The sequence below is a fragment of the Homo sapiens genome, chromosome 8 (genome assembly GCF_000001405.40).
Source record: "Homo sapiens chromosome 8, GRCh38.p14 Primary Assembly".
Lineage (NCBI taxonomy): Eukaryota > Metazoa > Chordata > Mammalia > Primates > Hominidae > Homo > Homo sapiens.
In genome coordinates this window covers 53,997,497-54,024,595 of record NC_000008.11, presented here as the reverse complement: position 1 = coordinate 54,024,595, position 27,099 = coordinate 53,997,497, and the positions used below count along the sequence as shown (strand labels likewise).

Below are 27,099 nucleotides of genomic sequence, written 5' to 3'. Positions count from 1 at the left end.
GGTGGTGGGCACCTGTAATCCTAGCTACTTGGGAGGCTGAGGCAGGAGAATTGCCTGAACCTGGGAGGCAAAGGTTGCAGTGAGCCGAGATCACGCCACTGCACTCCAGCCTGGGTGATAGGCCGAGACTCCGTCTAAAAAAAAATAAAAAATAAAATAAAATGAATTAAAATCTAAAAAAATAGTTAAAAATGGTCTTAGACAAGGTAGCATGAAAAAAGAAGAAAAGTAGTTAAATGGATAAATTTTGTGTTATGTGTATTTTAAAGAAAAACATCAACTGATTCTTTGGGAAAAAAGAAAAATGACAGAATTATTACAATAAATGTACAAATCCACATTATAAAGGGAAATTTTTACATACTCATTAATTGAGGCATGAAGCAGACAGCAAACAGGGATGTAAATATTGCAACATTTTCTGTAGAAAACAATTTTTTTCTGTGTGTTCTTTTTTAGAACACATAGATATGCATAAAAATTGACGAGATAGGCCGGGCGCAGTGGCTCACGCCTGTAATCCCAGCACTTTGGAAGGCCGAGGTGGGCGGATCACCTGAGGCCAGGAGTTCGAGATCGGCCTGGCCAACATGGTGAAACTTTGTCTCTACTAAAAACACAAAAAATTAGCCGGGTGTGCTGGTGGGCGCCTGTAGTCCCAGCTACTCAGGAGACTGAGGCAGGAAAATCGCTTGAACCTGGGAGGTGGAGGTTGCAGTGAGCCAGCCGAGATGGCACCACTGCACTCCAGCCTGGTCAATAAGAGCAAAACTCCGTGTCAAAAAAAAAAAAAAATTGACAAAATAAATCTCAACAAATACTACAATTTAAGCTGGAAATCAATAATAAAAAGATAATTTAAAAATGAAACAAAATAGGGAAACGATCCCAATACTTCTCCCCCAAATGAGTGAGTCATAACCAGGAAAAACCTGTCATCTCAGTATAGAAAGAACATTATTAGGCGGTGTATTTTGATGAATGATAGTTACGTGGTGTGGGAGTTATACCTGCAAATAGCATGAGTTGGTCGTGAAGGGTTTAAGTGGGGAAAGACTTTTTGGAGGAGCCTGCATTCTCCACTATGAACCCTGTCACAACTTAAGTCACCTTCCTCTCTGATCCTCAGAAGCTGGTGGGATGCCTTGTGTAATTTCTGACCAGAAGGTTTCCGTCAACTGTTCTTCAACTATTCAAAATGCCATGCCCAAGACTGGTTCTTAGTACTCCAGGAGCTCACGAACGATTTCACCTTTATTTATTTTTTATTTTTTTTGAGACGGAGTTTCGCTCTTGTCGCCCAGGCTAGAATGCAATGGCAGTCTCGGCTCACCGCAACTTCCGCCTCCCGGGTTCAAACGATTCTCCTGCCTCAGCCTCCCGAGTGGCTGGGATCACAGGCCATGACGCCCGGCTAATTTTGTATTTTTAGTAGTGACGATGTTTCTCCATGTTGGTCAGGCTGGTCTCGAACTCCTCACCTCAGTTGATCCGCCCGCCTCGGCCTCCCAAAGTGCTGGGATTACAGGCATGAGCCACCGCGCCCGGCCGATTTTTTTTAAAAAAAGGAACGCTTAGCCGGGTGCAGTGGCTCAGGTCTGTAATCGCAGCACTTTGGGAGGCCGAGGCGGGCGGATCACTAGGTCAAGAGATCAAAACCATCCTGGCCAACATGGTGAAACCCTGTCTCTACTAAAAATACAAAAAATTAGCAGGGCGTGGTGGCGGGCGCCTGTAGTCCCAGCTACTCGGGAAACTAAAGCAGGAGAATCGCTTGAACCCGGGGGGGGGAGCTTGCAGTGAGTGGAGATCGCGCCACTGTACTCCAGCCAGGCGACAGAACGAGGCTCCGTCTCAAAAAAAAAGGAACTCTTAAAACGAGTAACTCCGTAACCTAACTTAGAGGACACGGGTTCCATTTTTCCCCGTAGCAGTCTCCTATGGAGAAAGTGCTTGGCTTCCCACAGACTTTAAAACCTGCCAAAGTTCCATGCTCGGAATCTGCCCCCGTTTCGAGATACTTGGGCCTCCGCGAGTTCTAAAACTCCGGGATGTCCCGATGCAATAGGGGGCCGAAAACCCGCCCCGTGAGGGGGCGGGACCGGAGGTGAACGCGCAGCAAAACCGGGCGCCTTCCACGACCCTCTAGCCGGAAGCCACGCCTGCCCACTAGCCCGACGCCCGCCTGGCGGGAACATGGGCTCGCCCCTCACCAGCGATCTGCAGTCAGTTGGTAGCGCCTGCACGTCGCGCGCGGTGTTCGATTGTCGCTGCCTGGGGAGGAGGAGCCGGAGCCGCCGCCGCCGCCGCCGCCGCCGCGGGCTTCGTTCGTAAGGAAGGGGGCCTAGGCCCGGGCCTGCGGTGGTGGGGGTTGCTGCGCGCCGGGGGTCGCTCCTGCTGTGTCTTCCGCTCCAGCTTCGCCCACTTCCCCTTGCCAGCGGGGTGGGCGCGGAGAAGACCTGCCGGAGCCATGGAGGACGAAGTGGTCCGCTTTGCCAAGAAGATGGACAAGATGGTGCAGAAGAAGAACGCGGTGAGCGCGGCGAGCGGCGCGGGCCGGGAGGGAGGCCGGGCCGCGGTCCGGCCCGAGGGGGCCGCCCCCTCCCTCCTTCTCCCTCCCCTCCCCCTGCAGCCTCCCGTCTGGGAGCCGGGCCCGCCGCGCCCGCGTCCCCGGGGAGGGTGTCCGGGCCCGGGGCGTCGGGTCCCGCGGCAACCTGCGTTAGGACCCGCTCGCTCTTGTATTTCCAGTCCCTGCTCGCTGGTGCCGTGTAATAAACCTAATCGATTTAGGGATTAGGGCACGCTCTCCGTTGACTTTAAACTTTCGTGCTAGTAAAACCTTGGCAATTTAGCTTAGGAATTGAAGCGTAGAAAGTCCTCAGAACTTGAAAGAATGGAGTCTTCCGTGATCCGTGGCCAACATCTAGAAAGAGCATCAAATAGAGGCTTGTGATCGGTATTAGACATCGGGCTGGTAAAATGTAAAACTTCTGTGTCTTATTTTTGAAGAGGGCTGAACGTCCGCCTGGTTATCTCAACTGTGCTACATGTTTGCTTAGCGATTAAAAAGGTAAAGTGTGCCAGTTTCTTGGCGAGTTGCTAAACGTTTTATAAAAAGCGGGTTTTGTCCTGTCGTAATGTACAGAAGAGTTAGGACTACAGCACGCACACTCACCGGAATGCTGGTAGAGGGATTTGGACAAATTATATTGTTGGGTATTTTCTAAGTGGTTTACAGTTAATACTGGTGGCATTTTTTTTGTTATTGATGAATATTCATGTAAGCATATGCTTTTGTGGTTTGTAAGAAATCCTCATACGACCAGTTTCTACAGCTTGCCCATTTGTGTGGCACTTTCAGTCCCTTGCTTCAGACTCATCTGTTCTTAGCTAAACATATTTTTTCGAGACGGAGTTTAACTCTTGTTGCACAAGCTGGAGTGCAATGGCTTGATCTCGGCTCACTGCAACCTCCGCCTCTCGGGTTCAAGTGATTCTCCTGCCTCAGCCTCCCGAGTAGCTGGGATTACAGACGTGCGCCACCACGCCTGGCTATTTTTTTGTATTTTTAGTAGAAACGGGGTTTCACCATCTTAACCAGGCTGGTCTCGAACTCCTGACCTCAGGTGATCCGCCCACCTCAGCCTCCCAAAGTGCTGGGATTACAGGCGTGAGGCCACTGCGCCTGGCCTCTCAGGTAAACTTATATAATTGTCCTCACCTAAATTTGTTTAACCACGTTCGGCACATTTTCATCATCAGTGTACCTGAAATAATTTTTCTTCCATCTATGAAGTAAATTCCATGTCAAACTAATGTGAAGAGAAAAGGGATGCTCTGATTTGTACAGCACTTTGGAGTTAAAAAGCATCTGCTCAAAATTCTTTTGTGACTCACACAGAGCTGTGAGTACATAAAGGGTATCCATTTTACAGATTAAGACACTGAGAGAGATTAAGTACTACTACTTAAATTAAGTACTGTGTAGTTTGGAATAAGCCAGGACCCAGGTTTTCTTCTGGACAGCATGCTTTCCACATGACAGCTAGATCAGGAATTAGTGTTAACACTAAATACGTAAGACTTCAAACATCCTCTGTTCCCCTTTTTCCTTTAACAGGTGCATTGCCTCGTATTTCATTTCATACCCTGTTAATCTGTATTTGCAAATTTTGGCCTTTTAAAGTATTTCCTGTTTATTTTCTGTTCTAGATATTACCAGTGCCATTTTTCCTCCCCATTGATATGGCCCTTCATTTCCCACTTCAAATTCTGGTTATTTGATAGGTTATCTGGTTATTGGAACATTTTCGTTATTTTGTTTAAACTGGAAGATTTTTCTCTGGTCTGGAGATCCCCAGACTTGCACAGTAGAAGCTCCCAGGGAAAAAAAGCCATTTGTTGGGTAATGTTCTCTCCAACTTAGGCTGTAATATGTATCCTTTAATCATCTAATGCATTAGATGTTTGCTTGATTTTGTTTCTTTCCTTGTAATAATGTTTCTAAGTAATTTTTTAGTGGGCAGGTGTGGAGAAGATAAATTCATATTTATCTGCAGTTCTCAAATCGTCAACAAATTTTCAGATCTTTTGTAATGAGTCTGGAAGAGAATGAGAATAAACTCCACAAATAATCCTCAAATCTAAGTTTTCTTCTCAAATCTAAGTTTTCAGGTAGTTCAAAACTTTTCCAGTATGAAAACTTGCCTCCCAAAAAGAAAGGTAAAACTGACTGGCTCTTGTACTTTTGTTTTCCCCAGCATTTTCCCTGCCTGTCCTCTGGAAATTCAAACAGGCTGATGAAATACAGAGAAAGAGAAATGGTCAGAATGACACTCCTCTTTTCCCCAACTGCATCATCAGCCTACAGATGGCTTTTTAAGTGTTCAGTAATTCAACAAAATGTGTTTTAGGGGTTGTAGAATTATGGTATATGTGTTTCTCTTTTTTTCGGTAGTTTTCAGATTTTTCTCTCAGCTTTTTTAATGTTTTATATTATGAAAAAGTTAACTTTTTTTTTTTTTTTTTGAGACAGTGTCACTCTGTTACCCAGGCTAGAGTGCAGTGGTGCAATCTCGGCTCACTGCAACCTCCGCCTCCCCAGTTCAAGCGATTCTCTTGCCTCAGCCTCCCTAGAAGCTGGGACTACAGGTGTGCACCACCATGCCTGGCTAATTTTCGTATTTTTAGTAGAGATGGGATTTCAACGTATTGGCCAGGCTGGTCTTGAACTCCTGATCTCAGGTGATCTGCCCGTCCTGGCCTCCCAGAGTGCTGGGATTACAGATGTGAGCCACTGCGCCCAGCCTGAAAAAGTTAACTTTGAAGAGTAATAGTTGTCATCAGAATTGACAAATTTAAGTGCAAATTTAGATATCATTTAAAAAAATATTTTAACATGCTGCTGCTTTACCTGAATAATTTTGTTTTACTAAAACCATAGGTGTCACACTTAACTAAAAACAGCTTACCATTTATTGAGCTATTACTCTGAGCCAGGTATTCTGCTAAATACTTACCCACCTTATCCCATTTATTCCTCAGGCAACTTTGCAAGATGAGTATTATCCTCATTCTGAAAATGAGGATGCTAAGTATTTAGAATAGTCTTAAGCCAAATAGCTAGTGAATGGCCAAGTGAAGATGTGAATCTAAATCTGTTTTGCTCCAAAGCTAGTACTCCTCTCTTAAGCTACAGTGTCTCTCTAGAAGACCCTTGCATCTGCTCTTGAACCATGCATGGATACAATTAAGTGAATACAAAATCAGGAAGTAAGAGTATGAACTTGCTGTTTTGGGGCAGGTGTGTTTCCCTAGTTACCTAGATCAATATCCTGACCCTAGTTCTACCCAAGATGTTGTCCCACATGTGTACTTGATCTCAAGTGCACATGACCAAGCCACAGTGAACCACAGAAAGTAGTTCGAAATTTTTAGGTATTAGCTGTTTTCTGCTTAAGCTGTTTTCTTGTCACTTTGATTCGGTGTCAGTAACCAAGTCTGACTGCTAATGTGGGTTCAAATCCTGGCTTTTCTGAACTTTTCTGAACTTTAGCTGTGTGATTTTAGGCAAGTTCTTTGTCATCACTAAAATGTTTCTCGTCATGGTAAACTGGAGATAATTTAGTAAGGATTAAGTGAATATAAAATGCTTCTAGTGTAGGATTGTGGGCCTAAAGGATGTAATAAGGCCTAAAAAACAATCTGAGGTTGCCTTTCTTTGTAAAGGATTCATTTAGATTATAGAAGGAGGAGTGAGGCAAGGACATAAAGTTTTGAAGTTCATGGAGAGATTTTGTGGGTAGTGCTGAGGTTTATTTATTTATTTCATTGAAGGCTCAAGGTTGAGTGGAATTAAATTGCAGGGAGAGAAATTGAAATTAGATGTTAGAATTTCGTAGGAGCTGGGATACCTGAAATATTGATTTACATTTCCAAGTACCTCAGTTAAAATAACAACTGCAACAAAACTTTGATATCTATATCAGAGTTAGATTAATTAGCATAATTCAAAATTTAGAATGACTATACAATTTTTAATAACAGCTTTATCGAGAAATAGAATTAAATTCATTCTTAAAGTGTAGTTGACTCTTGAACAATGCAAGGGTTGTGGTGCTCACACTATCCCCCCTCCCTACCCGCATGCAGTCAAGTAGTATAACTTTTGTAGTAGTATAACTCATGCAGTCATGTCACTCAGGCTGGAGTGTGGTGGCATGATCTTGGCTCACTGCAACCTCCGCCTCCTGGGTTTAAGCAGCTCTCCCACCTCAGCTTCCCGAGTAGCTGGGACTACAAGTGCGTGCCACCACACCCAACTAATTTTGTATTTTTAGTAGAGATGGGATTTTACCATTTTTCTCAGGCTGGTCTCCACATCCTGACCTCAAGTGATTCACCTGCCTCGGCCTCCCAAATTGCTGGGATTACAGGCGTGAGCCACTGAGCCCAGCCTTTTTTGGGTATTTTTTATAGAGATGGGGTTTCACCATATTGCCCAGGCTGATCTAGAACTCCTGAACTCAAGTGATCTGCCTGCCTTGGCCTCCCAAAATGTTGGGATTATAGGCACTTAGCCTGGGTGACAGAGCGAGACAATGTCTCAAAAAAGAAAAGAAAAGAAATAAAGGAGAGAAAATATGTTTACTGTTCATGAAGTGGAAATGTGTCGTCGTAAAGGTCTTCATCCTCTTTGTCTTCACATTGAATAAGCTGAGGAGAAAGGAAGAGTTGGTTTTGTCATCTAGGGTTGCAGAGGTGAAAGAAAATTCTCAGGTGAATCTGTGCAGTTTAAACCCATGTTATTTGAGGGTCAACTGTTAATTCAGTGGCTTTTAGTGTATTTACGGGTTTGTGCAACTATTACTACTGTATAATTTTAGAACATTTTCATCACTCCAAAAAGAAACCCTGTACCTATTAAGCAGTCACTCCTCATTCAGCCCTCATTTGCCCCCACCAATTTCTCACACGCCTCTGACAGCCACTAATATACTTTCTGTCTGTGTGTTTGCCAAATCTGGAAATTTTCTGTCAGTGAAATTATACAGTATGTGGTCTTTTGTAACTGGCCTCTTTTGCTTAGTATAGTCTTTTTTTTTTTTTTTTTTTTTTGAGACGGAGTCTCATCTTGCTCTGTCGCTCAGGCTGGAGTGCAGTGGCGCGATCTCGGCTCACTGCAACCTCCGCCTCCCAGGTTCAAGCAGTTCTCCTGTCTCAGCCTCCCGAGTAGCTGGGACTATAGGCGCGCACCACCACACCCGGCTAATTTTTGTATTTTTAGTAGAGATGGGGTTTCACCATATTGGCCAGGCCGGTCTCAAACTCCTGACCTCATAATCCGCCTGTCTTGGCCTCCCAAAGTGCTGGGATTTCCACGCGTGAGCCACACCGCCTGGCCTGATTTTTGTATTTTTAGTAGAGACAGGGTTTCACCATGTCGGCCAAGCTGGTCTAGAACTCCTGATCTCAGGTGATCTACCCGCTTCAGCCTCCCAAAGTGCTGGGATTACAGATGTGAGCCACTGCACCCAACCACGATTTGCTTATTCATTCATCATTTGGTGGACATTTGGGCTGTTTCAGCTTTTTGGCTGTTGTGAATAATACTGTTAAAAACATTGCTGTACAAGTGTCTCGCTCTGTCACCCCGGCTGGAGTGCAGTGGTGTGATGGCTCACTGTAAGCTCCGCCTCCCGGGTTCCCACCATTCTCCTGCCTCAGCCTCCCGAGTAGCTGGGGCTACAGGCACCCAGCACCATGCCCGGCTATTGTATTTTTAGTAGAGACTGGGTTTCACTGTATTAGCCAGGATGGTCTCGATCTCCTGACTTCATGATCTGCCCGCCTCGGCCTCCTAAAGTGCCGGGATTACAGGCGTGAGCCACCGCGCCTGGCGACATATGTTTTCATTTCTGTTGGGTGTATACCTCGGAGAATAATTACTGGGTCATATAGTAACTATGTTTAACCTTTTGAGGAACTGCCAGACCTTTCCAGTGTGGCTGCACCATTTTACATTCCAACTAGCAGTGTGTGAGGATTCCAGTTTCACCTCATTTTCACCAATATCATTTGTCTTGATTATAGCCTTCCTAGTGGGTGTAAAGTGGTATTTCATTGTGGGTTTGATTTGCATGTCCCTTGTGATTAACAATGTTGAGCATCTTTTCATTGCTTTGTGGCCATTTGCATATCTTCTATGGAGAAATAAATGTCTATTCAGATCCTTTGCCCATTTTTTAGAAAAGAGTCAGGGTCTGGCTATGTTGCCCAGGCTGGAGTACAAATTGGATTAGTCCATTTTTAAATTGGGTTGTCTTTTTATTATTGAGTTGTAAGAGTTCTTTATATTCTGAATACTAGAACCTTGTTAGATATGCTGATACTGTCTCCCATTCTGTGGGTTGTCTGTCTGCTCTTGGTTGTGGCCTTTGAAGTATAAAATATTCTAATTTTGATGAAGATGAATTTATATATATTTTTCTTTTGTTGCTTGTGCTTTTGGTGTAGTTTAACTGCAAATTTGAGATGACATAGTAATATCATAAGTCCTAGCTTTATAGTGATGTTATTGAGCTACAACTCAAATATCTATAATTCATTGTTTAAGAAAATAGATAATGGGCCAGGCATGGTGGGTCACACCTGTAATCCCAGCACTTTGGGAGGCTGAGGTGGGCAGATCACGAGGTCAGGAGTTCAAGACCAGCCTGGCTAACATAGTGAAACCCCATCTCTACTGAAAATACAAAAATTAGTTGGGCGTGGTGGTGGGCGCCTGTAGTCCCAGCTGCTTGGGAGGCTGAGGCAGGATAATCGCTTGAACCCAGGAGGTAGAGGTTGCAGCGAACTGAGATCACGCCACTGCACTCCAGCCTGGGCGACACAGTGAGACTGTCTCAAAAAAAAAAAAATGGATAATATCTTAATTCTTTAACCTTGAAATCTTATAATAATGCCTATGAAGAAGACATTATTATAGAAGAAGTAACTGTTTTACTTGATTGAGCTTAAATATGATCACTGAAAATGCTGGCTTATGGCCCCTGGAGATTATTGTTATGGTAGAAATAAGTAATTATTTGTATATTTTTGTACTCCTCATCAACCATGCTATGTGTCAGACCCTCTATTTTGATACTTTATCTGTGTAATGTTGCCTCATTTGGCTGTTTTAACTACTCAAGGTTGGTGTGTTATGCTCACCTACGTATAAAGAAGCTGAAGCTTGAAAAGGACAAATAACATTACCCAGATCTTGTAGTTAGCAAATGTCAGAGCATGGATTTGAATCTAAATCTGTCATATATGTACACCATATTCTTAACTATAAATCCCTATTACTCCCTCCTTTTTACATCTCCTTGAGGAGAGGGATGTTCGTATCCTACATGGTCTTGAGTATACTGAGCACATAGTACAAGTATCATGGTTTATAAAATCACTTGTTTTCTATTACCAGATAGGAGCACCAACAATGTAATAAAATAGTGTGATAGCTGTAGTTTATCTTTCAGCCAGTAGTGTGAACTAAATTTGGCTCTGGAAATTAAAGAAGAGTCTTTCTTTCTCTTGCATCATCTGTAGGAGATGCTACAATCTCATAGACTTGGACATGTATTCTTTTCTTTTCTTTTTTTTTAAATAGAGGTGGGATCTCATTCTGTTATCCAGGCTGGTCTCGAACCCCTGGGCTCAAGTGATCCTCCTGCCTTAGGCCTCCCAGAGTGCTGGGATTACAGGCTGAGCCATTGTGCCTGGCCTAGGCTTGACATTTAGAGCTAGGTGATGCTTGGGGAAGGCTAAAATACAGCTTCTTGTTTGGTGATACTAGTCATCTGAATTCACAAAGGAGTGCTGCCACTGGCGCACTGCTGGGGAAAGGGCAGCAGTATAAGGGTCAGGCGACTAGTTCATGACCTTACTACCCGTCAGTATGACCTTGGGCAAGTCACTTTTCTTTTCTGGGTTTAAGTTTCTTTTTTTTGTGTGTAGTTAAGGGTTTGAAATAGATGATTAAAGATTTCTGTTTGTTTTAAAATTCCCTGATGTCAGAAAGGGTTTCAGTCTTGCTCACTGCTGTATCCCCAGTACAGTAGAGCTTGGTACATTTGACATTACTGGAGTAGATCTTACCTTTTCTAGTTAGTAATCATAGAACCTTGTGCAAGTTTCTTGACATATTTCCTCATCTGTAAAATGGAGATAATACCTGCTTCTATAGGGTTTATGGTGAAGGTGGAATTAAATCTATGTGAAGTATTTAACAATGCCAAGCACATAGCAGCACTCAAAGTTTGTTGTCACCGAATTAATGTATGATTATCTGTTTTGCATTTCACTCATTCAGATCATCATAGTTATTTCTTTTTGTTTGTCTGTTTTTTGTTTTTTTTTTTTTTTTTTTTTTGAGATGGAGTTTTGCTCTATCGTCCAGGTTGGAGTGCAGTGGCACGATCTCGGCTCACTGCAACCTCCGCCTCCTGGGTTCAAGTGATTCTCCTGCCTCAGCCTCCTGAGTAGCTGTGGGATTACAGGTGCCCGCCACCACGCCCCGCTAATTTTTGTATTTTTAGTAGAGATGGAGTTTCACCATGTTGGCCAGGCTGGTCTCGAACTCCTGAGCTCAGGTTGATCCTCCCACCTCGGTCTCCCAAAGTGCTAGGATTACAGGTGTGAGCCACATGCATAAGCCACCGTGCCCAGCCCATAGTTATTTCTTAAAGACCCTTCAGTGAAATATTTATTTGAATTAGTTGGAACACAGTGCAGTTTTCAGAAAGGTCATAGTTTTATTCCGTGAGTGTTACTTTTAGCTTTTTATTCCAACCATGGCCTCACCAGAGAGCTGAGTAGAAAAGGAAAGTAACAAAATTAATGCAAATATATTGCCTCTACTTGGAAAACAATTTAAACTGTATGTCTCATTGCTGATATGTTGGAAGAATCAACTTAATACTTAGGAAACCCTGCTTTTTAAGGAACTTCTAGAAGTGTGATTCTTTACCCTTATTAAGAGATTCTTGGTCAGAAGTGGATCAGAAATCCTGGAAATGTGGATAGAAGAAAAATGTCAATGGTAAATGGAGAATACAGGCCCACAATCTTTTTTTTTTTTTTTTTTTTTTGTCGTCGTCGTTTTTTAATTTTTATTTTAGAAATGGAGTCTCACTCTGTCCACACAGGCTAGACTGCCGTGGCACGATCATGGTTCATGTAATCTCAAGCTTCTGGGCTCGAGCAGTCCTCCCGCCTCAGCTTCTGGAGTAGCTAGGACTACAGGCACTATGGCCAGCTAATTTTTTATCTTTATTTTTTGTAGAGAGGGGGTCATGCTGTGTTGTCCAGACTTCTAGAGTTTGTTAATCAAAACCCTTAGGGTCTGATATATTTGGTAATTCCAGATTTTTCAGATTTGATAAAGATAATTTGGTATATACATCATATATTACATAATACCCCCAGCAGGATTTGGGCACTTCAGCAACCAGACATTAACATTTCTTTTTTTTGTTTTGTTTTTTGTTTTTTTGAGACGGAGTCTCGCTCTGTCGCCCAGGCTGGAGTGCAGTGGCGCGATCTCGGCTCACTGCAACCTCCACTTCCTGGGTTCAAGCAGCTCTCTGCCTCAGTCTCCTGAGTAGCTGGGATTACAGGCACCCGCCACCACGCCCAGCTAATTTTTGTATTTTTAGTAGAGACAGGGTTTCACTATCTTGGTTAGGGTGGTCTTGAACTCCTGACCTCGTGATCCATCCACCTCGGCCTCCCAAAGTGTTGGGATTACAGGTGTGAGCCACTGCGCCCGGCCTTAACATTTCTGTAGTCAGTTGTAATAGTCACATTACGTGGCATAGAGCACAAATAGCTTTACATGTGTTGTGGTTAGGTTTAGCTGCCAAATGAGTTTACCTATGAGAAATCTAGAAATCTTTTGCTTTTCAAAGGTTTTTGGTCTGGAAATTTGCAGATAAGGGATCGAAGACTTCATTTACTCACAACAATGTCATACCTGTAGAAATGCTTGTTTAATAATACGTTTTAAGTCAGTGTTAGATTTCTTTTCCAACAACTTTAATGTTTTACTGTTTCTAGATGACTAAATAGGAAGAATTTATAGAATTTTAAGATTAGGAGAGATCTTTAAACAGCAAATAATTAAACATTACTTATAATAACGTGTCATAATTTCTGTTGAACTTAAATTTTTATTTATGAGGTATTGGGTTGAATTGAAATGATGTAACTCTTTGTTACCAGAATAAAAGCTAATGGTTTTATTCTGGAAGGCCAAGCCTAATGTCTGTCACCTTTAAATGAAAAATTACATGACTAGAAGCCTTTACTTGATTTTATATCTAAGAAATAAAGTGATACTATGAGAGTCTTTGCTCGCTTTTTCCTTTGGCGTGTTGAATGAGGGACGTGCTGTGGTTCTTTCTGTTTTTTTGGGGGGATAGCGTGTATTTCATTGATTTGTAGGGTGCCTGTTTTCATACTTAAACATTTTAGAAAGCAGGATAGGTACACATATCATTGGCCAGATGGCCATTGTAATGTTCTTTCACAGGCAGAATGCTAAACCTAGCATCAGAACTTGTGGAATGAGTGTCATTGGCTTGGAAGGAAATCTGAGAGAGGATTTCTTTCTCTTTGAATCCTGAGGAACCAAATGACTGTGAAGAGCATTGGAGGTGAAAAGCAGCTGTGCACACTACTACAAAGCCAGCCCTAGAGCTCACGGCATTAGCTTTTTTGTGGATTCTTCTATGAAATGCTTTGTCACTTGTGTTCTTAAACAGCTCTTTGTGGGGTAAAAACAGATACTGTTGAATCTGAGTCAAAAAGTTCTGAATGTGAAGTACTTTTAGTAACAGCCAATTTTGTTTTACTTATATGTATGTTTTTACATATGTAAAAGGTGACGTGGTAAAAACTTCAACTCTAAAATAATTCTTTCAATAAGCAAAAGTAGAAAGAAGTTATAATGCCAGGCATGGTGGCTCACGCCTGTAATCCCAGCACTTTGGGAGGCCAAGGCAGGCAGATCACCTGAGATCAGAAGTTTGAGACCAGCTTGGCCCCCATCTCTACTAAAAATACAAAAATTAGCCCAGCGTGGTGGTGTGTGCCTGTAATCTCACCTACTCAGGAGGCTGAGGCAGGAGAATCGCTTGAACCCAGGAGGGGAGGCAAAGGTTGCAGTGAGCCGAGATCACACCACTGCACTCCAACCTGGGCAACAGAGTGAGACTCTGTCTTAAAAAAAAAAAAAGTTATAATAAAACACTGTATCATAGCTTAATCGTTTTTTCTTTATTGATGGTATACAAAGAAATGATTTATCCAGATATAGTACATTAAGTAAACATTAGACTAAATGAAATAGAATGTGAATATATTCAATTAGATGAAATGATTAAATTAAATTAATATCAAATTGTAATATTTGGCTGTAAGCTATAGGTGGTGCTGTTGCTCCTTATCTGATTTTATTCCTCTTTAGCTGTTTTCTGTGATTCTCCCATGAACCTTATTTCTGGCTAGTCCCTGTTTTACCATCTTGGGAATTCAATATGAAATTATTTTATTTTATAGGCTGGAGCATTGGATTTGCTAAAGGAGCTTAAGAATATTCCTATGACCCTGGAATTACTGCAGGTATGTGCTTTTATGCATCAAAGTTTTTTTAATAGGTAGTCGTCATAAAATACCAAAACATCTTCAGTACCAATATGTTTTTGTAGTCTCTTGATAATGGTGTAAACCATTACTAACTGCTATTTTTTTTTAAAGATGGCAATATAAATCAATAATCTACTAAGTTGCCATTATAGAGCAATGTCGCCTTTCTTAAGGAGAATAAAACCTGAATCTCTAAAGTTGGCAGTAGCAGTGAAATCTCACTGTGAGAGGAAGTTGGATTCTTGGCCCTGATTTGGTCTCCTAAGATTTCCCTTTCTTGATCTATTATTGATAGCTGCTGCCAGCATGAAGCTAGCTTCAGGGTGAGGATGGCAAGGTGTCGCTCCTCTCCCTTTTTTTTTCTTTTTTTTTTAGCACCAGTCAAGCATGTACACAGTTGATGTCTAGTAGACATTACACAGATTCATTACTGAAGTCTTATTCTTTATTGATAATATTTATAGATGTTTAAGGGGGTATATGTAATATTTGGTTACATGCATAGAATGTATAATGATGAAGTCAGGTTATTTAGGGTATCCCTCACCTTCAGTATTTATCATTTCTCTGTGTTGGGAGCATTTCAAGCCCTCTCTTCTCGCTATTTTGAAATATATAATGTTTTATTAACTATAGTGACCCTACTCTGCTGTGGAACCTTAGAACTTATTCCTTCTATCTAACTATATGTTCGTACCCATGAACAAACCTGTCTTCATTCCCTTGCCTCACTTACGCACCCTTCCCAGTCTCTGGTATCCATCACTCTGCTTTCTATCTTTGTGAGGCTCACTGTTTTAGCTCTCACATAGGAGTGAGAACGTGGTATTTGTCTTTCTCTGCCTGGCTTATTTCAGTTAACATAACTTCAGTTCCATCCGTGTTTCTGCAAATACATGATTTCATTCTTTTTTATAACTGATGGTATTTCATTGTGTATATACATTAAATTTTCTTTATCCAGTTATTCATTGATGGGCACTTAGGTTGATTCCATATCTTGGCTATTGTGAATAGTGCTGCAGTAAACATGAGGGGTGCAGATACCCCTTTGTTAAACTGATTTCCTTTGGATAAATATTTGGTAGTGGGATTGCTGGATCATATGGTACTTCAATTTTTAGTTCTTGAGAAATCTCCATACTGTTTTATACAGTGGCTGTGCTAATTTACATTCCCATTAACAGTGTATGAGTTCCCTTTTTTCTGCACCTTCACCAGCATCTGTTTTTTTTTTTTGTCTTTTTAATAGTAGCCATCCGGGCCAGGCGCTCATGCCTGTAATCCCAGCACTTTGGGAGGCTGAGGCGGGTGGATCACCTGAGGCTAGGAGTTCAAGACCAGCCTGGCCAACATGGTAAAACACCGTCACTACTAAAAATACAAAAATTAGCCAGGTGTGGTGGTGCATACCTGTAGTCCCAGCTATTTAGGAGGCTGAGGCACGAGAATCAGTTGAACCCAGGAAGTGGAGGTTGCAGTGAGCTGAGATTGCGCCACTGCACTTCATCCCAAGCCGCAAAGTGAGACTCTGTCTCAAAAAAAAAAAAAATAAATAAATAAATAAAAATAAAATAATAGCCATTCTGACTGGAGGAAGATGGTATCTCATGGTGGTTTTTATTTGCATTTCTCCAATGATTAGTGATGTTGAACATTTTTTCTTATACCTGTTGACCACTCGTATGTCTTGTTTTGAGAAATATCTATTCATGTTCTTTGCCCACTGTTTTTTTTTTTTTTTAAGATAAGGTCTCTGTTGCCCAGGTTGTAGTGCAATGACATGATCATTGGCTGACTGCAGCCTCCACCTCCTGGGCTGAAGTGATCCTCCCACCTCAGCCCCTCCCGTCCCTTACCCCCAAGTAACTGGGGACTACAGGAGCATGCTACCATGCTTGGCTAATTAAAAAAATTTTTTTTTTTAGAGACGGGGTTCTCCCTTTGTTGCCCAGGCTGGTCTTGAACTCCAGCCTTGGTCTCCCAAAGTGCTGGGATTGCAGGCATGAGCCACTGCAGCCAGCATTTTGCCTACTTTTTAATGAGATTATTTGTTTCCTGGTTGTTGTTGTTGTTGTTGTTGTTGAATTGTTTGACTTCCTTATTTATTGTTAATATGAGTCCCTTTTCACATGAATAGTTTGCAAATATTTTCTCCTGTTCAGCAGATTGTCTCTTTACCCTGTTGTTTCCTTTGCTGTGCAGAAGCTTTTTTTTTTTTTTTTTTTTTTTTGAGACACAGTTTCACTCTGTGGCCCAGGATGGAGTGCAGTGGTACGACGTGCGACCTCAGCCTTCTGGATTCAAGCAATTCTCTTGCCTTAGCCTCCCCAGTAGCTGGGATTACGGGCGCCTGCCGCCATGCCCAGCTAATTTTTGTATTTTTAGTAGAGACGGGGTTTCACCATGTTGGCCAGGCTGGTCTCAAACTCCTGACCTCGGGTGATCCACCATCCTTGGCCTCCTGAAGTGCTGGGATTACAGGCATGAGTGTATTTTAATGTTCCATCAAGAATGAAATATAAAAATAAAACTTTGATAAAAGTCAAAGTGTTAAAAAGGAAACTTAATATAGCCAATAACATGAATATCGTTATTTTCTGGTTGATGTTTTTTATTATCCACAAGTGCTTTCTTTGATATTTCTATTATATTAATTCAGAATTTAGGGAAAGGTGGTGGGGGTGTGTGAACATGATTGAGAAAAAAAGTCACGTTTATTTTCATTAATGGCTAACTGAAATTGAATATTTCTTTCAGTTGTGAAAACACTAAACCACAGTTGTATTACCAGTATTTACGACTAAAACTAAAATAATTCACAAATGTTTTAACTTCAGTTTACTTACATTGTAAAAGTATTGAAATTGCTCATTATTGTTGCTGTTCTACCTTATGCTAGGTCTTAATGTTTTAATAAGGAAGGGCTTGGCACAGTGGCTCGTGCCTGTAATCCCAACACCTTGGGAGATCGAGGCTAGAGGATTGCTTGAGCCCAGCAGTTCAAGACCAGCCTGGGCAACATAGCAAGACTCTGTCTTGATAAAAAAGAAAAAAATACACACACACAAATTGGGGAGCATGAACATTACTATCTTACATTTAAAAATATTTTGTAATTTTATATTATATAATTGGTTTGCTTCATAATCCTATGTATTTTATTTAATCCATTTTTAACGGATTCTGAGAAGGGCTCCATAAGCTTCACCAGACTGCTAGAAGGATCCATGGTGCAAAAAAAGGGTTAAGAACTCCTCCTCTAGGCCGACCAGGTGGCTCATGCCTGTAATTCCAGCACTTTGGAAGCTGGAGGTGGGTGGATCACTTGAGCTCAGGAGTTTGAGACCAACTGGCCAACATGGTGAAACCCCGTCTCTATTAAAAATACAAAAAAATTAGCTGGGCATGGTGGCATGTGCCTGTAATAATCCCAGCTACTCGGGAGGCTGAGGCAGGAGAACCACTTGAACCCAGGAGGCGGAGGTTGCAGTGAGTCAAGATTGCGCCACTGCACCCCAGCCTGGGCAACAGAGCAAGACTCTGTATCAAAAAACAAAAAAGAACTCCTCTATCTCTAGACCCCAGAAAGAGAAAGTAAGAGAAAGGAAGTAAGTCATGAAGTCCTACCTTCTGAGTTCAGGTTTCTGTCTAATGATCAGCAACTTCTCTTGCAAGTCAACTCTAAGAATAAACTTTCCTTTGAGATAGTTCCTTACCAAGGCATAACTTTATCCCGACAGACCTGTGTGGGGAAAACAACATAGTAATCCCATTATTTATTTAACAGGCACGTGTAGAGTTAGAGAGAGTATGGAGGTTGGATAGGGTTAATATTTATGAGCATCTCTAATTTTTTCCTGTGCTTCCTTCTTTGGAAAGCCTGTGTATTTATATAACAAACATTCGAGGTTTTTTTTTTCTTTGAGATGGAGTTTCACTCTTGTTGCCCAGGCTGGAGTGCAATGGCACGATCTCGGCTCACTGCAACCTCCACCTCCCGGGTTCAAGCGATTCTCCTGCCTCAGCCTCCTGAGTAGCTGGGATTACAGGCGTGTATCACCACACCCGGCTAAGAGTTTTTACTATGATTAAGAATTGTGCTGGGTTTATAAAGATGAATAAGATAAGGCCTTTCCCTCCTCATTGAACTTAAATTCTAGTAGAGGAAAACTGACATATAAACAAAGATGTAGGTACCCAAAGAAAAGTCCATACAGTGTTCATCTGGGGGAAAGAAGGAGGGTAGGAAGAAGAACGAAGAAGTTTACTTGTCAATCTAAGTACATAATCTGGGAGGTGCAGAATGCTGTTATGTAGGTGATAAAGCTGAAACTACATCTCAGAAGATGACTAGGTTCTCCCTCAGCAGATAGACAGGGAAAGATATTTCAGCAGAGAAAACAGTATGTGGAAGCAGTGTGGCATTTAGAAGTGAAAATAAAGGAGAGCTAGTTGCATATGGGGTTAAAGACATGGGAAGAGCTAGTTGCATACAGGATTTTAAAGACATAGGTGGTGTGGCACGCAGGGCTTCATATGTGATGCTGAGAGCATTACTACTGAAAGGTGTTAGGCAGGGGAGTATGTGACCAGATTTGCACATTGGAGGAAATGGGAAGCTGGAGCCTGAAAGACCTGTTGACTAATGAAGTTATTCAGGTGAGGAGTGATGAGGGCTTAAACTAAGATAATAGCAATATAAATGGAGAGAAGGGGAATTTGTTAATGAAAGACAGCCTATAAGGATTGGTAGTTGTTTGGATGGAGGTGAAGGAGTGGAGGAATTTAGGATGACTGAGATTTTTGCCATGGCAACTGGGTAGATGGTGCCATTTAGCAATATAAGAATATTCAAGAAAGGTAGTATGAAGGTGAGCTTGGGATGAGAAGAAAATAAAAATGGAGGGGTGAAGAGATAAAGGATAATTTGGATACACTGGATTTTGAGATGCCTATGAAACAAGTATATGCAGGTATCTGGTAGGTAGTTGAGTATGTCCTCCCTAGCAGTGCTGTCAAGTATGACTTTGCAGTGATGGAAATGTTTCTGATGTGAGTGTTGACTGATATGGTAGTGCTTAACTACATGAGGCTATTGAGCACTTGAAATATGACTAAGGAACGGAATTCTAAATTTCATTTAATTTTAACAAATTTTAAATAGCCATATATGTAAACAGCTCTAGAATATAAGAGAAAGGACAGGTTTAGGAAATATTTGGGAAGTAATAGCATAGAGGTGGGTTAGATCCCCTAGGAAAAAGGGAAAACAGAGTTGGGATATAACAGACTGATTAAATCAAATGAGATCTGAAGAGTCCTTGGGAGTTTACAATTAGGAGTGCAGGAAACTGAGCAGAGTGAGAGAGTAGAAGGTGGGTATTGGGTTGAAGGTGAGGAAGTAAACAGGAAGACAAATATTTGGGCTAGTAATAGATTCGGCTAGTTTTGTAAGTTTTTATATATAGTAGATTAATTTATTCAATCATGATTAAGTGTCTGCTATGTGCTAGATATTATTCCACATGCTGAATATAGTGGCAGACAAGACAAGGTCCCTGCTGTCTTGGAACTTATTAAAAGGATAGTAAACGTAGCTGTATGTTTCTTTTTTTTTTTTAAACAGTATTATTGAGATATAATTCACATACCATACAGTTCATTCATTTAAAGTGTATGATTCATTGTTTTTTAGTATGTTCTGGTACTATCACCACAATTAACTTTAGAACATTTTCATCACCCCAAAAAGTCATTCTCCGTTCCCCCCAACTGGTCTTCCTCCTTCCAGCCTAGGCAACCACTAATCTTTCTGTCTCTATAGGTTTGCCTGTTCTGGAGTTTTCATATAAATGGAATCATACAGTATCTGACCTTTGATGTCTGGCTTCTGTCACTTAGCTTAATGTTTTCAGGATTCATCCATGTTGCAGTTTATGTCAGAATTTTCAGGCCTTTTTATGGCTGAATAATATTCAGTTGCATGGATATTTCACATGTTGTTTATCCATTTGTCAGGTGATGCGTTTAGACTTTTTTGGCTGTTATGTATCACACTGCTATGCGTGTTTATATACAAGTTTGTGTGAGCATATGTTTTTGTTGTTCTTGTGTAGATACCTGGGAATGGTATTGCTGGTTTATGTGGTAACTGTGTGTTTAACATTTTGAGGACCTGCCAGACTCTTTTCTCCAGCCACCATACCATTTTATATCCCTAGTAGCAGTAAACGAGGGGTCCAGTTTCTCTGCATCCTTGCAAACACTTGTTGTTGTTTGTTTTTGATTATAGCTATTGTAGTGGGTGTAGTGGTATTTCATTGTAGCTTTAATTTTTATTTCCATAATGTCTAAGGATGTTGAATATCTTTTCATGTGCTTGTTGGTTATTTTTATATCTTATTCGGAGAAATGTCTATCCAGATCCTTTGCCCGTTTTTAAATTGGATTGTCTTTTTTTTTTTAATCGAGTTGTAATAGTTCTTTATATATTCCAAATACAAGTCGCTTATCAGACATAGAGTTTGCAAATATTGTCTCTTTTTCTGTGAATTATCTTTTTGCTTTCTCGATGGTGTTCATTGAAGCACAAAAGTTTTAAATTTTGATATATTCTATTTTTTCTTTGATTGCTTGCGCCTTAGGTGTCATATCCAAGAAACCATTCCCTAATCCAAGGTCATGAAGCTTTACTCCTGTTCATATTGAGTTAATTTTTATGTGTGGTATAAGGAAGAGGTTCAGGTTTATTCTTTTACATGTGGATGTCTAGTTGTTCCAGCACCATTTGTTAAAAAGAATATTCTTTTCTCCAATGAATTGTCTTGATATCCTTATCTAAAATCAGTTGATGAAAAATGTAGGAATTTATTTCTGGAGTCTTAAATTTATCCCATTGATCTGCGCGTCCATCCTTTTGCCAGTACTATGCTATCTTGGTTACTATAGGGAATTGTGAGTGCTCCAACTTTGTTCTTCTTTTTCAAGATTGTTTTGGCTGTTTTGGGTCCTTTGCATTTCTGTATGGACTTTAGGGTACGCTTGTCAATTTCTACACTAAAGGCAGATGGGATTCTGATAGGCATTGCATTGAGTCAGTAGTTCGACTTGATTAGTATTGCAGTCTTAACATTTAAGTCTTCCGGTCTATCGACATGAGATTTAAAAATTTTGTTTGGGTCATCTTTAATTTCTTTCAAAAATGTTTTATAGTAGCTGTGTGTTTCTTTTATATATGTGTGTTTTAAATGTATGTTTTACATATGTGTTTTATAGTAGCTGTACAGTAGCTATATGTTTTTTACCTTAAGATTTAGTGGCTACCTTGAGATCATCTTGGCAAAAACTCATGAGTGATCACAAAGGAGACTTTTCTTCTGGAGCACACCAAATCTGCTTGTTTCCTGTGATGTTAACAGTGTCTCTTGATCTCAGTACTCATTCCTTTCTGCTTTTCCATCAGTGTGCAGCTGACCCCTAAGGCTGCTTAATGCACTCTCCACCTTTCCAAGGTAATGTCTTTCTTTCTGTATACCTGATGTTCTATAGAAATCATAGGCAAAGGCACATATTTTATCTGCTAGAGTTTCACGATGTATAGTTTGTCCTGAAAGCTTTCATTAGTCCTGCAGTCAAGAAAACAGTTATAATCCCACAATTCCTAAGGTCACTTGAGCACAGAATACTTTCGTATAACCTATCTATTACATCTTGTAAGTCTTAGCATACCAATTTTAGGAAAAATCTCTAGGGAATTCATAGAGTCAACTTCAGACTTGCTTATCCAAGTAAATAGCTTCATAATCTTTTCCTCTACTTTTTTTTTTTTTCATTTTTTCCATGGTACCCCCAAAGGAAAAAAGAAAAACTTATTTCAAATCTTTGTTTTTCATTCTACCTCAGCAGCTTCATTTCTTTTTTTTCTTTTTTTTTTTGAGACGGAGTCTTGTTCTGTTACCCAGGCTGGAGTGCAGTGGTGCAATCTCGGCTCACTGCAACCTCTACCTCCCGGGTTCAAGCAATTCTCCTGCCTTAGTCTCCCAAGTAGCTGGGACTACAGGTGCGTGCCACCATGCCCAGCTAATTTTTTGTACTTTTTAAAGATGGGGTTTCACCGTGTCAGCCAGGATGGTCTTAATCTCCCGACCTCGTGATCCACCCACCTCGGCCTCCCAGAGTGCTGGGATTACAGGCGTGAGCCACCATACCCGCCCTTTTTTTTTCTTTTTGGAGACAGTCTTGCTCTGTCGCCCAGGCTGGAAGCTGGAGCGCAGTGGTGTGATCGTGGCTCGCTGCAACTTCTGCCTTCTGGGTTCAAGTGATTCTTCTGTCTCAGCCTCCCGAGTAGCTGGGACTACAGGCGCTTGCCACCACGCCCAGCTAATTTGTTTTTTGTTTGTTTGTTTGTTTTTTGTTTTTTTTTTTTAGTAGAGACAGTTTTACTATATTGGCCAGGCTGGTCTCAAACTCCTGACTTCGTGAGCCGCCCGCCTCAGCCTCCCAAAGTGCTGGGATTACAGGTGTGAGCCACCGTGCCCCTCATTTCTTATTATTTTGGCTTGACAATCTCTTCCATAGATAAGCATGTTTATTACAAGATAACTATATTCTCAGTATAGGTTTTGTTTGAGGCTAAGCGGGATAATCATTGACTTTTTAGTAATCAAAACATCCTCTGATAATTAAAAAGCAATCACCCAGCAGTACACAATTCATCATCTCCTTACACCTTTGCTCTCCTGCAAGCCCCTAGTAAAGTGCCATTTTATTTTTTTGCACGTTTGTGTCAGTTCTAAGCTTCAGAACCACACTAATAAGTTATTTCCTCTACACATTCAAAAAGTGGAGTTTTTTTCCTAGTAAACTAGCCTTGTTAACCCCAAATTGTTTGGGGCTTTAAAATTGTGGAGTCCCTTTATCTTTCTGCTGTTCAATCTTGTCTGTTTTGCTCAGCTTTCTAAGAGATATAGGACACTCTAGCCAACCACATATTCTAAATTCTTGAATAAAACTTAGATCCTGAATCTGTTTGTTGAGAGGATTGAATAATTTAGAAGGAAACCTCAAGTACCCGTATATTTTTCTACCGTAAAGCTTACAATAGGGTGTCTCTTTTTTTTCACCACTAAGAATTCCTTTTGTTATTTTTTTCTTCCATAGACCATATGTTTGAAATATTGTCTGTTAACAACCCGAACTTACTAAATAATATACCATTTTTTATTTATCATCCATATTTGGGCTGTCATAGCTTTTGTGTTCTTTGAGCACAATTTGAAACCATTAATGTGCTACAAAGACCATGGACTTCGGCAGTGAACAAACCTGGATTAAAATCCCAGTTTTTGGCTGGGCCGGTGGCTCATGCTTGTAATCCCAGCACTTTGGAGGCTGAGGTGTGTGGATCACCTGAGGTCTAGAGTTTGAGACCAGCCTGGCCAACGTGGTGCAGTCCGTCTCTACTAAAAATACACAAATCAGCCGGGCGAGGTGGCATGTGCCTGTAATCCCAGCTACTCGGGAGGCTGAGGCAGGAGAATTGCTTGAACCAGGAGGTGGAGGTTGCAGTGAGCCAATATCGTGCCCCACTGCACTCCAGCCTGGGTGACAGAGTGAGAGTCCGTCTCAAAAAAAAAAAAAAAAAATCCCAGCTTTGCTGGTTGGTAATGGTGTGATGCTGGGCACGTTATTTATTGGTACTTCCAATCTCTTCATCTTTAAAAATAGGGATGATCTCAACTTTGAAGGGTTGTTAGAAAGATTGATGAATGTGGATGCTCTAAGCATAATTCTAGGCACGTAATTATCACAGGTTAAATTTTACCTGTATTTTGTGAAGTGCATTTTAATGTCTCTGATTATATGCTGGTTCCTGGCAAAATAAAGCCTTTTAAACCTGGATAGGTGGTAGTTTTTGTTTGGATATCCTCATAATAATTTGCAGCTGGTGCTCTATGAAGTAATCCATGTAGAGGAATGTATAGAAACAAAGAAATGCATGTATTAGTCATGATTGCTTCAGCCTGACTTATATACAACATTATATATTTTATCCTCGTTTATCTTCACTTCTCCCTTGTGGAAAGATTGATTGCATTTTTCTAGTTAACCAGACTTATTACAGTAGTGAATTTTATGCTTCTAGATCTTGATGATAAGAACATTAATGAGTCTAGTGTTTGATCTGAAGATGTATGTATCTTAATATAATTTGCTATTATAAGGATCCAAAAATTGAAGTTTTGAAATTCTAAAATAGAAACAGGAATCTGGGAAAGAAAAGAATGTAGGTGAAATACTAATTTGTTTAAAATAAAATTGGTATACATAATTTTTTTGTTATTGCCTTGCAGTCCACAAGAATCGGAATGTCAGTTAATGCTATTCGCAAGCAGAGTACAGATGAGGAAGTTACATCTTTGGCAAAGTCTCTCATCAAATCCTGGAAAAAATTATTAGGTATCATTGATCTTCCCTTACATATATTTATGATGTTGTGATTTATTCAAATAGTTAATGGTTACATTTTATGGTTAGTTAATGGTTACATTTTTTTCTTAGTGAATCTAGATATACTGAAAGCAGTGCCTCGTAATAAAGGCGAGGGGAGTTAATTTGATCTTTAGGGTTTTTTTGCCTTTTAGGCCAGTCAAATTTGGCTTTCTTAACTTTTGACACAACTGGATAAACTCTTTCAGTAAGAAGAATTTTCTCTTAAAGGAAAGGTTGTGGATACCTTTTGAAATGGTTTTTGAAATTTTTTGACTTACAGAAAACTTGCAAGGATGATTAAAAGAATGCCGTATCCTTTATCCATATCATCAATTTTTAATATTTGCCATATTTGTTTTATCATATTCTCTCTTTTTCTTTCTCTATTTGCACACACACAAATTATTTTTTTCGGAACCATTTGAAAGTAGGTTGAATATATCATGCTCTTTTACCCTTTAAATACTTGCGTGTATTTCCTTACTACAATCTTATTTTTTTATGGAATCATAGTATAAGAAATATAGGAAATTTAACATTGGTATAGTATTTTATGGTTTATGTTCAGGTTTGTCAGTTGTCCCAATAATGTTTTTTTATAGTTCTTTTGTTTTTCTACCTTCAGGAAAAGATCCACTTCAGGATCACATAGCTAGTTTTCTTTCTTTTTTTTTTTTTTTTTTTTTTGAGACTGAGTCTCACTCTGTTGCCCAGGCTGGAGTGCAGTGGTGCAATCTCGGCTCACTGCAAGCTCCGCCTCCTGGGTTCATGCCATTCTGCCTCAGCCTCCCGAGTAGCTGGGACTACAGGTGGCCGCCACCACGCCCAGCTAATTTTTTGTATTTTTAGTAGAGACGAGGTTTCACCGTGTTAGCCAGGGTGGTCTCGATCACCTGACCTTGTGATCTGCCCGCCTTGGCCTCCCAAAGTGCTGGGATTACAGGCGTGAGCCACCTCGCCTGGCCTCACATAGCTAGTTTTCTAATTTGAAATCATTCTTAAGCTTTTCTTTATCTTTTATGAAATTGACATTTTGAAGAATACAGGTATCCCTTCTCCTTTGTTTTCCCCCCAAGGCAGAAATGTTCCTTTCTCATTTGAAGACCAACCTGTTTACTTAGGTTCATGATTTTACTTTTTCTTTGTTTTTGGTCTGTGATCTTTCACTATCAATTATCACCTGTGTAGGAAATGTACATAGGGTCCTAGCCCAACAAATATGAATTCCCTCACCTTAAATTTTATTTTGGGGCTGTCAATTTTTTGTTGATATATTTCCTGAAAGTCAAATTTGGAAGGAAAGAAAATTAAACGCAATTTTGTCTTTCACATTAATTGCACAAACCCAATAAAAAAAATTACTGTTGTGGGCCATGCTTTAAAATTTTATGTGTGTGTGTGTATATATCCTGTCCCTTCCCCCTCATTCCTGGTCCCCTGCCTCAAGTAGGGCTAAAAGAAACAAGGTCATTTCCTATAGAAGAAAGTATGTATGCCTCCTGAATATGTGGAGTTTAACTTTTTATTTTGACATAATAAGTGACTCACAGAAAATTACCACAAAAAAAAAGTACAGAAAGGTCTCATGTACCCTTTATCCAGCTTCCTCCTATGGCAATATCACATAACTCTCATATACAGAATCTCAACCAGGAAATTGACAGTGATACAGTCTACAGACCTTATTCAGATTTCATCAGTTTTTACTGGCGCTAGTGTATGTGTGGGGGCATGTATCCTTCTGAGCAATTTTATCTTACATATACATTCATGTAACCATCATTAATGTGTATTTTAAAATACTTTCATGCAAATCAGATTTTTATCAAATTCATAATGGGCTTAAAAAATAGAACTTGGATATGTTATACAATATGCAGAAAATGACCAATTGTAATGAATGCAAAGTGGAATTGGATTTTGGTTTAAAAGTAAACTAGGAAATATATTCAAGGCAGAATTTCCCACATTTTTAAGTTGTATCCTTGAAGCAGGTTTATTCCCCTATCCACCCCCTTTCCCACCACTTTTTTTGTTTTGTGTTGAAATAGGGGTCTTGCTATGTTGCCTAGGCTAACCTCCAACTCCTGGGTTCAAGCAGTCTTTCACATCAGACTCCTGAGTAGCTGGAATTGCAAGCATCCGCCACTGCCCTCCTTTGTTATTTATTTACTAATTTGAGACAGAGTCTCACTATGTTGCTAAGGCTGGTCTTGGACTCTTGGGCTCAAGCGATCCAACCTGCCTTGGCCTCCCAAAGTGTTAGGTTTATAGGCGTGAGCCATCGCGCTTGGCCCCTCCTTTGTTTTTAATAGCATATTCCTTATTTGAGGTGTACCTGCTTTTTTCTCATGATTAGATCAGGTTGTACATCCCCAGTTGGAATACTGTTTAAGCATGTTATGTCCTTCTCAA

The 27,099-nt window shown here is 40.5% G+C and overlaps 2 protein-coding genes and 1 long non-coding RNA gene across 12 annotated transcripts in view, besides 6 other annotated features; 2 read left to right on the top strand and 1 right to left on the bottom strand.

The window, feature by feature from the left end:
• LOC133039971 (Uncharacterized) overlaps nucleotides 1–2,563 on the bottom strand; it is a 28,744-nt gene extending 26,181 nt beyond the window's left edge. For all 4 annotated transcript variants that reach the window (NR_189617.1, NR_189618.1, NR_189619.1 and 1 more), the window contains exon 1: nucleotides 2,214–2,563. This is a non-coding gene — a long non-coding RNA (Uncharacterized LOC133039971). The remainder of the gene's footprint in view (nucleotides 1–2,213) is intronic.
• The window catches only part of LYPLA1-TCEA1 (LYPLA1-TCEA1 readthrough), a 135,392-nt gene that overhangs the window by 77,352 nt on the left and 30,941 nt on the right, over nucleotides 1–27,099 (top strand). For all 4 annotated transcript variants that reach the window (NM_001425841.1, NM_001425839.1, NM_001425842.1 and 1 more), the window contains 2 exons: nucleotides 14,104–14,166; nucleotides 24,546–24,651. In NM_001425841.1, coding sequence (NP_001412770.1) covers nucleotides 14,146–14,166; nucleotides 24,546–24,651 — 127 coding nt within the window. In that variant the 5' untranslated portion in view covers nucleotides 14,104–14,145. The remainder of the gene's footprint in view (nucleotides 1–14,103; nucleotides 14,167–24,545; nucleotides 24,652–27,099) is intronic.
• Nucleotides 824–1,615: an enhancer, noted in NCBI's record as "H3K27ac-H3K4me1 hESC enhancer chr8:54935541-54936332 (GRCh37/hg19 assembly coordinates)". NCBI's record gives its function as "activates a minimal SCP1, AML or CMV promoter by ChIP-STARR-seq in primed H9 embryonic stem cells {active_cell/tissue: H9 hESC(primed)}" and the evidence as "EXISTENCE:reporter gene assay evidence [ECO:0000049][PMID:30033119]".
• Nucleotides 1,095–1,402: a silencer, noted in NCBI's record as "fragment chr8:54935754-54936061 (GRCh37/hg19 assembly coordinates)". NCBI's record gives its function as "represses an EF-1alpha promoter that drives an FKBP-Casp9 reporter gene in an ReSE screen in K562 erythroleukemia cells {active_cell/tissue: K562}" and the evidence as "EXISTENCE:reporter gene assay evidence [ECO:0000049][PMID:32094911]".
• Nucleotides 1,616–2,409: an enhancer, noted in NCBI's record as "H3K27ac-H3K4me1 hESC enhancer chr8:54934747-54935540 (GRCh37/hg19 assembly coordinates)". NCBI's record gives its function as "activates a minimal SCP1, AML or CMV promoter by ChIP-STARR-seq in naive H9 embryonic stem cells {active_cell/tissue: H9 hESC(naive)}" and the evidence as "EXISTENCE:reporter gene assay evidence [ECO:0000049][PMID:30033119]".
• Nucleotides 2,148–27,099, top strand: part of TCEA1 (transcription elongation factor A1) — a 55,893-nt gene continuing 30,941 nt past the window's right edge. The window contains exons 1-4 of one of the 4 annotated variants that reach the window (NR_109901.2): nucleotides 2,148–2,533; nucleotides 14,104–14,166; nucleotides 21,504–21,704; nucleotides 24,546–24,651. Coding sequence is in view for 2 of the 4 variants with exons in the window: in NM_006756.4 (NP_006747.1) it covers nucleotides 2,471–2,533; nucleotides 14,104–14,166; nucleotides 24,546–24,651 (232 nt within the window). In the remaining 2 variants the exon portion in view is untranslated. The remainder of the gene's footprint in view (nucleotides 2,534–14,103; nucleotides 14,167–21,503; nucleotides 21,705–24,545; nucleotides 24,652–27,099) is intronic. The other 3 variants (NM_006756.4, NR_109902.2, NM_201437.3) reach the window with 3 other exon arrangements.
• Nucleotides 2,210–2,359: an enhancer, noted in NCBI's record as "active region_27369". NCBI's record gives its function as "activates an Ori minimal core promoter by ATAC-STARR-seq in GM12878 lymphoblastoid cells {active_cell/tissue: GM12878}" and the evidence as "EXISTENCE:reporter gene assay evidence [ECO:0000049][PMID:35858748]".
• Nucleotides 2,530–2,699: a silencer, noted in NCBI's record as "silent region_19198". NCBI's record gives its function as "represses an Ori minimal core promoter by ATAC-STARR-seq in GM12878 lymphoblastoid cells {active_cell/tissue: GM12878}" and the evidence as "EXISTENCE:reporter gene assay evidence [ECO:0000049][PMID:35858748]".
• Nucleotides 12,035–12,134: a silencer, noted in NCBI's record as "silent region_19197". NCBI's record gives its function as "represses an Ori minimal core promoter by ATAC-STARR-seq in GM12878 lymphoblastoid cells {active_cell/tissue: GM12878}" and the evidence as "EXISTENCE:reporter gene assay evidence [ECO:0000049][PMID:35858748]".